Raw genomic sequence first — 12902 nt, forward strand, 5'->3', positions numbered from 1 at the left:
TGACCTGTAAAATGGCAACAACAATGTAATTCCCAGGTTGTTATGATGATTAAATGAATTATTCCTAAAGCACTTAGAACAATGCTAGCACCACATAATAAGTGGGGTGTGAGTGTGTGTACATACATGTGTGCACTTTAATTTAATAAAATATTTACCAAAAAAAGCTGCAAGGTAAATTGTGGTCCTATCTTATATAAGAAAACTACAGAGAGGCTGAGGTCACCCAGCTCAAAATGGCAGCATTTGGAATGTGTAATCATAGCACACATTACTGATTCTAAGATCTGAATGTCCTTCTTTGTGTCTCTAGGCCTATGTGAACCTCCTTTTCTGGTACCAGTTCTTTTGTGGATTTTCAGGAACATCCATGACTGATTACTGGGTTTTGATCTTCTTCAACCTCCTCTTCACATCTGCCCCTCCTGTCATTTATGGTGTTTTGGAGAAAGATGTGTCTGCAGAGACCCTCATGCAACTGCCTGAACTTTACAGAAGTGGTCAGAAATCAGAGGTAGGTGTTAAAGCAAGAGTGCTTGGATGGATGCATATCCATTGTCAAAGCCAGTGTGTTTTCTTAGTTAGCAAAATATTGCAGTCTACTCAGAACTGTTTGAAATATCTGATTGTTTTAAAAGATCTCTACTTATGTGGCAGATATTCACTTACTTAACTTTGAGGTAAATACAGATTAATCTATGAAGGGCCTTATGTACTTAGAAGAAGAAATCTAAAGTTTGAATCTTACAACCAATAATATCTAACATTTACTAAACCCCATTGCCATCTATTGTGCTAACTACTTAACATCCCCCGTCTGATTTATCTTCATGAAAACACGTTGAGACAGAACCTAGTGTTGGTCCCATTCTAAGATGAAGAATCTGAACCTCAAAGGGGTTAAGTAATTTTTCAAGAAATCCCACCACTAAAAAGTGGTTTGGTATATGTTAGAAAGAATAGGTTATGTTTACTCTGAGTTTAAATTCTGGTTCTGTGGTATGTGACCTTGGTAAATTTTTTAACTTGCCTGTGCTGCAGGTTCTTTATGGGAATGAAGTGAGGATTAAGGAAGATAATACGGTACAACTTCCAGCCATAGCAAGCTCTCAATGTTGTCATTTTTACCCTCCAGAATTAACCAGAAATTTGAGGAAATCCCAAATTTAAAATAATGCATTTATTTTCATCGGTCTAACTAATCTGACTTGAAATGCCTTTCTGGAATGGAGAGTCATTTAGTGTCCTTACACTACCTAGAACAACCAACAGAGAAATCACAGATTCAGCTTTCAGGAAAGAAGGGGTCCTTATAATCCTCTAATATCATCCAATCCATTCAGACCAAGGAACTACATGGGTTTTCCTAAAGGAGTCCAGTCTGACTTAAAGTTCAAGCCAGGATGCAAGAACATGTGGTTGATGTCAGAGAAGTTTGTCCCACGCCCCAGGCATAATTGAAATTCCAAATCCACTTCGGAAAGGAGGGTTGAGGGAGATTTTCAGTCAAAGTTTTTATAGCCTGTGTTTTAAAAGCCCATTTGTATGGACTAAAGATTGTTATTTGTCCTTATCCTTGGGAGACGTGAGATCATTGTTTCCTGTTGTTGAATCCTCTCACCAATCCTTGTACACGCTGTTCTAGTGAGCTGGCCAGTTATATAAAACATGATCACAGCAGGCAGATTTTCCCAGCATGTAGCTATTGATAAAAGGTAACTGATTTCATTGACTTTACCTTCTAAAATTTGTCCTTTCTTTGAACTTGGCCTCCAACAAAATTATGTTTTATGCTTGGGTCGTTTTCCTGTGTTCAGTGTCATGAAATATACTCTCCAGAGCTACAGAATCTCTCTCCTCTAAAGATGAGTCTGGAAGTCTGCAGTCAGAAGCTTCCCTTCCACGAAGCCTCACCCCCATCTCTCATCACCCACAATCTTCTTTTTTGGCTTTGGCTTCATGTCCAGACTTTCCCCTTTCAGGTTCCAGTGGACCCCGTGAGTTAATCCCTCCAGCCTCTCATTTATCTTAATCATGATCCTTCTCTCTTTACTTTTGTAAGTCCTATTCCTCATGTGACTGTGGGAAATTGTATTTCTTTCCTTTTACTCTAGGTTCTTTGAGCAACCTCTCTCTCCCCAGATGCATGAAGTTATATTTTAACTTATCCCTAAGTGGTTCTCTCTTGTCCAGTGGCATTTTGCTTGCCCCTTTGTCTCTGGCACATTCTCTTCCACCATTGGATTGGGCTTCTGCTGAGATTTTATGGAAGAAAGGCAGGCAGAATATCCTTCATATCCAATGAGGAAATAATAGAAGAAGATACAGAGAAAAGTGGACTGGAAACAATGAATCTTCATTGTTTTGATTTTCCAGAGAACGAAGGGATAAAAAAGGATAGATGTAAAAATTCCAAGTATATTATTCTAAAGAATGGAAGAATGTATATGGAGAATTTGTATATTTATAAAGATTTGTTCTTTAAGAGACAGTGAGACATTTTCAAGGAAGTTTCAGCCTCTGCATTTGGAAGAAAACAAGACTGAGAACATGTTAGGAAAAGACTAGCTCAGGGATGTGACACATGTTTTTCCAATTTTGTTCATGGCAGATATCACTAATAAGTGATAGCACTCTTTCCTGCTGGATCTGAATGCAGCCTCAGAATCCTTCACACAGCCTCAGAATCCAACTTCAGAGTTGGCTCTTGTTTGAAAAGTCATTTTCAATCATTTGACTATTGTCTCTTACTCTTTCTTTTTTTCTCTAAGATTTGTGTAGGAAGCAGTTTAGTACATGAAAACGTGTATGTGAATACTTTATTAACCCGATAAATATTTGTTGGGCACCTGGTATGTACAAGACACTGTTTTAGTCGCTTGAATAAAAGAGTCAACATTCTATTCTATGAGCTTGCATTCCACTGAGAGAACTAGAGCATTTATTAAACAGAGAGAATTATTCCTGATGGTGATGAGATACTTCTCAGGTTTCCATGGTAGTAAGTGCCTGAGTGGGCACAGCTTTTAGACTGGTTTGGTGTGCCTGTATGAGGAAGTGATATTTGAGCTAGGATACAAGTAATGAGGAAATGCTCATGTAGGAGGTCCAGGAAAAGAATTCCTGGCAGAGAGACTAGCACAGGTGAATCCCTGAGGAAAGAATGGATTTGGCACATTTGAGGAAAAGAATGAAAAAGGTCCATGTTGCAGAATCAAAACGGCAAGAAGTAACCCTGGAGAACTATTGAGTGGGCAAACCATGTAGGACCTTATAGGTCATGAGAAGAAACTTAGATTGTGTTGGAAATGCAGTGGGAAGTCATTGGAGGGAGTGGAAGGAGTCAATTTGATTAATTAGAGAGATGGCATGACCTGGTTTACATTTTTTAAGTCCATTTCCAATTTGCCTTAGGAATACTGCGCTGGCAGCAAGCTGCCTTTTTTTTCTAAATGGGAAATGGGTTTAAAACCATCTGGCTGATTTTGGAAGATTGGATTGAGAATAGGGGAGGAAGCAAAGAGGGCAGTTAGATGGCTATCCAGCCATTCATAGAGACAATTGATGGTGAATTGGAATGAAGGGAGTAATTTAGAGAAAGAGAAATGGATAGAGTTGGAGAAGTTTTGAAACAGTACTTTCTGATCAGTAGGAAAGGAGAAGTTAGTACTACCGGCTGTATTTCAGCTAGATTTAAAATTTATCCTGTAATAAAGGCAACATGAGTTGAATAAATGTTCCTTCAAGGATTTTTTTCATCATGTTTACTTGTGAACCCATCACATTCAGTTACCCTTATCTTTACCTCTGTTGACAAATACCACTTGAAGAAATGGAGCTTTCTCTCAGAGAAACAAATGTAAGTACTGGCTTGTGTTGTTTCTTTTCTTGGACCCTTGTTAATCTTACTACCTCCCCGTTATCTGCTTCATTTCTAGGCATACTTACCCCATACCTTCTGGATCACCTTATTGGATGCTTTTTATCAAAGCCTGGTCTGCTTCTTTGTGCCTTATTTTGTGAGTCTTTGTTCACTCAGTATATTTGTTATTAATGAATCAATGATGCTTCTTTGTACTTTGCCACCAATTTCAGCATAAAGGAGGGCAGATTGCTCATATAATCAGGTTGATTATTAACTGACTAAATTATAATCTCCCCAAAAATATATGTTAGGTAATGGATTAAATTTAGATAGACATACATAGTTTGAGTCCTCTTAGGCCTCTTGTTAACTCTGTACTGCTTAAAAATTTTTATCAATGACTTGAACAAAATTGGATGTCTGGCTATATAATTAGATTAGTCAAAAATCAGACAGGCTGGGCACAGTGGCTCACACCTGTAATCTCAGCATTTTGGGAGGCTGAGGCAGTTGGATTGCTTGAGTTGAGGAGTTTGAAACCAGCTTGCACAACATAGTGAGGCCACCATCTCTACAAAAAATTTAAAAATTAGCTGAGTGTAGTGGTGTGGACCTGTGGCCCCAGCTATTTGGGAGGCTGAGGTAGGAGGATTGCTTGAGCCCAGGAGGTCTAGGCTGCAGTGAACTGTGATTGCACCACTGCACTCCAGCCTAGACAACAGAGTGAGACCCTGTCTTAAAAAAATCAGAGAGGCAATGCCAGAATATGAAAGCTTTTATTAGTGAGTGCTGGGCTAATTCTACTCGAATGATATTCAGAGCATTAAATTTGAGATTCCATAAGTAATGTCTTTAAAACTATAAAACCTGTTTTACAGGTAAATAATGGAAGAAATGTAACAAAGCAAAAAAAGTATAAACTTTAATTTTAGAAAATTTAGGCTAACACGATACACAAAGAAGCATTGTATAGCTGCTCATCCACATATACCCTTCTCCTAAAGAAAACACCTGTTTTATCATGGGTGGTGTTAATAGAAGCACAGTATTAAGAATGAAAAAGATGATCATTTCTAAATTGACAATTTTTATTCTTTATTCAAATAAAATCATTTGAATTAGCCTTGCTGGAGTTTTCTGGCTATACTGCACTTCAGGAGAAATATAAACAAGGCAATCTGAAGTATATTCAGAATAGAATGAAGATGATGGTGAAACATGAGAAAATTGTGTCATTAGAGGAATAGTATAAGGACTTGAAGACATATAGGAAAGGAGGGTATATTTTCCTAGGAAAGATAGTTATAATAGCTGCCTCAAAGATTTGTAGCTCTATTAAATAGAACAAATTTCTCTATACCTTAAAAAGCTAGAAGTGTGAGTGAAAGGTTCCAGGAGGATCAATTATGATTCAGAATAAAGAGGAATTCCAGTTGAAAAAAACTGAAGATTAGATGCCCTGTCTGGGAGAGAGTCAGTCTCTTACTTGTGGAAATGTTCAAGTTTATTTCATATGGCCAGTTCACAGGGACCTTGTAGAAGGGATTCAAGCCTTGGTTGAGCTGTAGATAAAGTGATGTTACCCACACCAAGTTGCACAACTCTCCAGGATCATCTAATGTCCTCTCTTTGTAGACCTACCAGGGCTCAGATACTGACATCTTTGCATTTGGAAACCCCCTGAACACAGCCGCTCTGTTCATCGTTCTCCTCCATCTGGTCATTGAAAGCAAGAGTTTGGTGAGTGGTTTTCTTGCCTCTGAAGTAGCCTAAAATCTTTTATGCTTGGGGATATGTCTTCTATTAGCAGTGACCCTGAAGATAAGTGGTAATGAGAAGAGTAATGAATCTATGGGAGAAGGGTGATCACAGCTACTCTGGGTGATCATTGAATGCCATTATGCTGAGGTTGATGTGTAGCTGGGGATAGTGGAAAACACCTGCCTTGCTCCCTTTGGTAGTATCAGTGGTGGAGGGTTCATGGAGATGTGAGACAGACTGGAGGGATATTTAACCTTCATTCTTCAAGACCAAGCTGATTACTTTTAGTGAAAATGAAAAAAGGTGTTGTATCATAATCCTGGTACAGTGACTTTAGGGATGATTTTATGCCTTCCTTATAATAGAAAAAATCTTTTTTGGCTCTCCTTTGGGTAAAACCCTTCAGTGGTTTCCCATTGTACTTGGAATAAAATATGAAAGCCCTAAGATGGTGCAGTGATGCTGTACTTCTCTCTTCAACCTCATTTCCACATATTCGTGGGCTGGAACCACCTTATCCCTCTTTCAGTTTCTTCAGTACATTGAACTGATTACCACATCAGGATCTTGGCACTTAGCGTATCTTTTAACGGAGGTAATTTGCATTCCCCCTTGCATCCCTGCACTTCACCCAGCGCAAATGTTATTTTAAATTTCATCAAAAATATAATTTCCCCCAACAGCCTTTCCCTAACCATCCATCCTCTAATACCATTCTCTTGCTCTTACTCATAACTCTAATCATAATTTATAATTATTTATTTAATTATGTGATTATCTCAGACCAGGTGCAGTGACTCACACCTGCAATTCCAGAGCTTTGGGAGGCTGTGGATCACATGAAGCTAAGAGTTCAAGACCAGCCTGGGCAACATAGTGAGACCCTGTCTCTAAAAAAAATAACAAAACTAACTGTGTGTCATGGCACCTGCCAGCAGTCTTGGCCACTTGGGAGACTGAGGAGGAGGCTCACTTGAGCCCAACAGTTGGAGGCTGCAGTAAGCTATGATCATGCCACTGCACTCCAGCTTGGGAAACAGAGAGAAACCTTGTCTCTAAAAACAAAAAAGTGTGATTATCTTATTCATGTTTATCTTCCGCATTAGCCTATGCTCTCTGCGAGGGTAGGGTTCATGCCTATTTTGTTCACCACTGTATACCAGTGTTAAAGGACAAGACTGACACACAGCAGGTGCTCAAAAAATATTTGAATGGATAAATAAATGATGAAATAACCAGTTTTTGGGTTATGTTTACCGTCCTGATAACATATGAATTTTAAATAGGAAATAGCTGAATAAGGTTATAGTTTAAAATATATGAAGTTATATTACAAAATTATTTATAACAATTTCTAAAGTAGGGCTGATTATTTTGGACATTATTTGCTTTGCTTACAATCATCTATAACAAAATATTACAAGCTAAAATGTAGTAAAAGGTTAATATCTGCAAATACCAGATGGGTAGAGTAAAGGAAATTCTAGAACTGAAATATTTGGGATTGTTTTTATACCTATTCAATTTTTAAGCAATTGCATTGGTACTTTTGGTGGCCACCTGAGAAAATGCCAAAGGTTCTGACATTTATTAGTGTGCCAGAGGATTTAACACATAAAGTGTATCAGTTTGGGTTCACGGATTATGAGCAATATCATCTGAATAACCTGAACAAATAGAAAAGTTATTAAAAAATATAATGAAGAACCATGATAGAACAAAATAAAGAAAAGCAAAAATATCTGAGAAACCAGAGTGACTCTGGAGATGCACAGAGCAGAAACTAATGGTCAGGCTTGTCAGGATGGTCCTCTGGTCTGAACTGGCTCCATTTATTTTCTTTCTGCTCTTGCCCCATTGTGCTCCAAGTCTACTCTCTTGTGATGGAATCCTATTTCCCTAGCTTAAGTCACAGGCTTTGGCTAGGGGAGGAATATTTTGCCGAGACTGCACACAATGCTGGAGTGCAGCATTGTGAAAGCTAGAGTCAAAGATAAACAGAGACTGCTGTTTAAAGGATGCATCATTAGAGAATTGTTTCTTATGCTGGAGGATGCATGGCTAGAGATCCTGGCCCTGCAGGTCTCTTGTTAATAAAAGCCAGCCATTCTGAAAGTATAAAACTCTTTCCCTTCATGCTCTTATTCACCATCTCATTGCCACCTCCCACTTCCCTGTTGGTTTTTACCCAGTATTCTTTGACTTTCACTTCTTTGTATCAATTAACTTAAATGTATAAACTCTATGAAGTCACTATCTCACTTGCCAAAGGCATGTTTTTTTTGTTGTTGTTTTTTGTTTGTTTTTGTTGTTGTTGTTGTTTTTGAGACAGAGTCTTGCTCTGTCACCCAGGCTGGAGTGCAGTGGCACTATCTCTGCTCACTGCAAGCTCCGCCTCCCAGGTTCATGCCATTCTTCTGCCTCAGCCTCCCGAGTAGCTGGGACTACAGGCGCCCACCACCACGCCCCGCTAATTTTGTTTTTGTATTTTTAGTAGAGACAGGGTTTCACCATCTTAGCCAGGATGGTCTCGATCTCCTGGTCTCGTGATCCACCCACCTCAGCCTCCCAAAGTGCTGGGATTACAGGCGTGAGCCACTGTGCCTGGCCAAAGCATGTTTTAAGAGATAAAAAATTGGAGCAAAATGGCTCAAATAGAAGGAAAGACATTTGAGAAAGAAAAAAAAGGAATTATTGTTTTAGCAGCATGAAGATCTTAATCCAGGAGTTAGCTAACATTTTTCTAGTTGTTTGTACATTTTATTTAAAAATAAGCAGTCTGTGTGACTCTTGTGAAGGTATCTGCCATGGGGAAATACTTTGCAAGATTAGGAGAGAAAAGAAGAAAATCTAATCTTATTTGAAAATTATAGCCCTAGAAAATAAAAGAGATTAATAAAAGCAGTGTTTCCCTAAAAAGCATGATATGTGCCACCAATAGTACACACCATGATTTTAGGTAGTACTGTATACTGCACTAAATAACACTAAATACTACATAATGTGAAGGTAATTCTGTTTTCATACTTCCGATTATATCAAAGAGGTATCTCATTTGATGCTATTATGTTTTATCACAGTAATTCTTGCTAATTTCTCTTTATAACAAAGATTAATCAAACCCTAGACTCAGCTCTTTTATAACAGAGAATATTAATATTATGAAGTTGGTGCCAAAAAAAAAACGCAATTATTTTTGCACCAACCTCATACATTTAAAGTAGGCATATACTTTTCTTCCTTTTTGAATTTAAATCTTTTTTTATTTCTAAAATTTTTGTGGGTACATAGTAGGTGTATATATTTATTATGTACATGAGATGTTTTGATACAGGGTTGCAATGTGAAATAAGCACATCATGGAGAATGGGGTATCCATCCCTTCAAGCATTTATCCTTTGAGTTACAAACAATCCAAATAGATCCTTTAAGTTATTTTAAAATATATAATTATTATTGACTATAGTCATCCCATTATGCTATCAAATAGTAGGTCTTAGTCATTCTTTCTATTTTTCTTTTGTACCCATTAACCATCCCCACCTCCCCTGATACCTCCACTACCCTTCCCAGGCTCTGATAACCATCCTTCTACTTTCTATGTCCATGAGTTCAATTGATTTGATTTTTAGATCCCACAAATAAGTGAGAACATGCAGTATTTGTCTTTCTGTGCCTGCCTTATTTCATTTAACATAATGACCTCTAGTTCCATCCATGTTGTTGTAAGTGATAGAATCTCATTCTTTTTTTGTGGCCAAATAGTACTCCATCGTGTAGATATACCACAGTTTTTTATCCATTCATCTGTTGATGAACACTTAGGTGGCTTCCAAACCTTGGCTATTGTAAACAGTGCTGCAGCAAGCATAGGAGTGCAGATATCTCTTTGATATACTGATTTCCTTTCTTTTGGGTGTACAACCAGCAGTGGGATTGCTGGATCATACAGTAGCTTAATTTTTAGTTTTTTGAGGAACCTCCAAACTGTTCTCCATAGTGGCTGTACTAACTTACATTCCCACTAACAATGTACAAGGGTTCCCTTTTATCCACATCCTAACCAATGTTTGGCATTGCCTGTCTTTTGGATACAAGCCATTTTAACTGGGGTGAGATTGAGATGATATCTCATTGTACTTTTCTTTCTAGATAAAGTTACTTAATTAGTGAACCGATGTTAAGAAAAATAATATTGCAAGATATACATGAATATGAAAGTAGCTAGGCTGTGGTATGACACGCAAACATTTATTTCTTGCTCATATAAAGTTGGCTGATATTCCAGACAGCTCTAGAAGCAACCATCCTCTCAGAGAACTTCTTGGTCAGTATGGAAGGAAAGGAGACAGCATGGAAAATTGCAGACAAGCTCTTACATACTTCTAACCGGAAAGTTTTACATACCCCTTGTACTCACATTTTATTAGTCAAAGCAAGACATATGGCCATGCTTAATTTCAAGGGAGTGTGGAAATGTGATCCACCTGAATGCTTACTCAGGGAGGAGAATGACAGTATTCGTGATCAACAGTACTGTCTAACACCTATTTGAATGGCTTAAGTTTGAGGTTCACTGGGAGGAACCTGTTTCCAGTTAACAAGGAAACAGACCAATGAGTGACTACATGAAAAAAATTAAGGAGAAAATCCAGACACCTCTTGGTGCATGGATAGTATAGAATAAACTAATCAACAGAATTCCCTTTTGACATTTGATTTAATTTAGTTTTACAGAATTCAAATGGTGATGTAATTCATTCACAAAAAATACTCCCATCTCCTTGATATCTTATATTTTGTTTATTCAGGTTTGTTACACCATTCATCCAGTGCTTAGATGTGTTGTCTCTTTAATGGAGCAGATTTGTCCGGGTGGCAATACTGTATCAGTGACAGAGCATTCATTTCCTCTGCTCTTCTTGTCTTACAGACTTGGATTCACTTGCTGGTCATCATTGGTAGCATCTTGTCTTATTTTTTATTTGCCATAGTTTTTGGAGCCATGTGTGTAACTTGCAACCCACCATCCAACCCTTACTGGATTATGCAGGAGCACATGCTGGATCCAGTATTCTACTTAGTTTGTATCCTCACGACGTCCATTGCTCTTCTGCCCAGGTATGGTATTTATTTTATCATTGAGAGAATAAATGGAATCATAGGCTAAGAATCCTTCAAGCAACTACACTACTACGAATGGTTGGCAGCCCACCCTGTTTAGTAGTGAGAAAGTCAATTTGTGTCCTAGTTAAAATATTGGTTTTTAACTCTTTTATCAGAGAACAAAAGTGGCTTAAGCAAACCGAGAGACTGATTTATCTCTCATGAAAAAGTTTATCTGGTTGACAGTTTACAGGGATAGGGTAGCTTTGCTTCACAGGGTTATCTAAGGACCTAGATCCTTTTCTCTATCTTTTTACTTTGCTGTCTCCCAAGGGTCAGGCCCTTGTTTGGGTCCATTTCGTGCTGCCACAGTGGAATTTATAAACAGAAATTTATTGGCTCACAGTTTTGGAGGCTGAAAAGTCTAACGTCAAGCCACCAGAAGATTTGACGATCCCAATTCCAAGATGGCACCTTGAACACTGCACCTTCAGATGGTGGAAGGGCAAAGAGGCAAAAGGGGATCAAACTCGCCCTCTTATAATGGCATTAATCTCACTCAGGAGGGCTCTGCCTTATCACCTCTTAAAGGTCCTATCTCTTAATATTGTAAAAACAGCCGCTAAATTTCAACATGAGTTTTGGGGGGAATAAACATTCCAACCATAGCAGCCCTCATCTCATGACAGAAGGTGACTACTCAGCTGATCCTCAGCCCTGCTTGCCCCTGTATACAGGAATGGGAAAGTTGAGGGCAAGCAGCTTTGTTTTTATATTTTTGTTTGTTTGTTTGTTTTTCATGTAGTGGCATGAACCTACATATGTACATTGTAACTGAGTGGCTAAAATCTTGGAGTTTCTAAAAGGAAGAAAGGGAGGCTGGGTGTTGAGGGACAAGTAGCAGTCTCTACTACAATCTGTAAGCACTGAACACTTTTCAACTTTCCTCCCTTATCTGAGTTCAGTTACTCCCCCAGTTCTAGTTTAATCTGATTTATAGTATTGTATGGGATGGAAATGACTAAGAAGAATACATGGGTTTTTAATATATAGATTCTTGGAACTCAGAACTCATCATCTCTGCAGTTTCACAAAATCTGTTTAGTTGAAAATATTATAACAAATAGTTGTTCTGCTTTTTTAAACATAAATGAGACTCATAATGGTAAGTTCATGTTATTCTATAACAGCGTCAACAAACTGTGGCAAACAGGCCAAATTTGGCCTACTGTCTGATTTTGTAAATAAAGCTTTGTTAGAATATAGCCATACTCACTTATATATGATCTATGGCTGCTTATGCAATACAACAGCAGAACTGAATAGTTCCAACAAAGTTTGTCTGGCTCCCAGTGCCTAAAATATTACTATCCAGCCCTTTACAGAAAAGGTTTGCCCGCTCTGATCTGTAGCTGTATCATACGGCACAGTGGACACAATCCTTTGTTGCTGATGAATGTCTCTTCCAGAAATGCATTAAAAAACCCATCTGAGTTACTCAATGGTACTTATATATAACAATATCACTGTGAAACGAAGATACTTCTATAGTGCTCACTGCTATTGCCAGCTTCCAGATTAAAAACTGACAAGATGAACTTACAGAATTTCTGAAAAAACAATTACTTAAAGGTTTTAGCTTTAAAAATTCTGGGCCTTTAACAGTATAGTTCTAATATTATCGTGGTATGCTAAAAAATGACTCCCTAAAAGATTTCCATGTCCTAATCCCTGTAACCTGTAAATTTTATCTTATGTGGCAAGAAAAGAACTTTGCATGAGTGATTACATTATGGATCTTGAGACAAAGAGATTAGTTATCCAGGTGGATCCTAAATGTAACCACAAGTGTCCTTATAAGAAAGAGGCAGAGGGAGATTTGACACAGAAGAGGAGAAGGTACTATGACTATGGGATCATGGATTCCTTAGCCACAAGCCAAGAAATGTCAGAAGCCACCAGAAGCTGGAAGAGGCAAGGAATAGATTCTCTACTAGAGGGTCCAGAGGGAGCATGCCCTTTCCAATACCTTGATTTTGGCCCAGTGAAGCTAATTTCATAATTTTTTGCCTTGAAAACATTGAGAGAATAATTTTTGTAATTCTAAGCTACCAAGTTTGTAATAACGTGGTATAGCAGTCATAGGAAACTAATACAGATTTGGGTACTC

At 38.1% G+C, this 12902-nt stretch overlaps 1 protein-coding gene across 1 annotated transcript in view; it reads left to right on the forward strand.

The window, feature by feature from the left end:
• ATP10D (ATPase phospholipid transporting 10D (putative)) overlaps positions 1–12902 on the forward strand; it is a 108212-nt gene that overhangs the window by 91185 nt on the left and 4125 nt on the right. The window contains exons 19-22 of the mRNA NM_020453.4: positions 314–514; positions 3939–4019; positions 5501–5605; positions 10560–10747. Of these exons, the coding sequence (NP_065186.3) occupies positions 314–514; positions 3939–4019; positions 5501–5605; positions 10560–10747 (575 nt within the window). The remainder of the gene's footprint in view (positions 1–313; positions 515–3938; positions 4020–5500; positions 5606–10559; positions 10748–12902) is intronic.

The sequence above is a fragment of the Homo sapiens genome, chromosome 4, assembly GCF_000001405.40.
Source record: "Homo sapiens chromosome 4, GRCh38.p14 Primary Assembly".
NCBI lineage: Eukaryota > Metazoa > Chordata > Mammalia > Primates > Hominidae > Homo > Homo sapiens.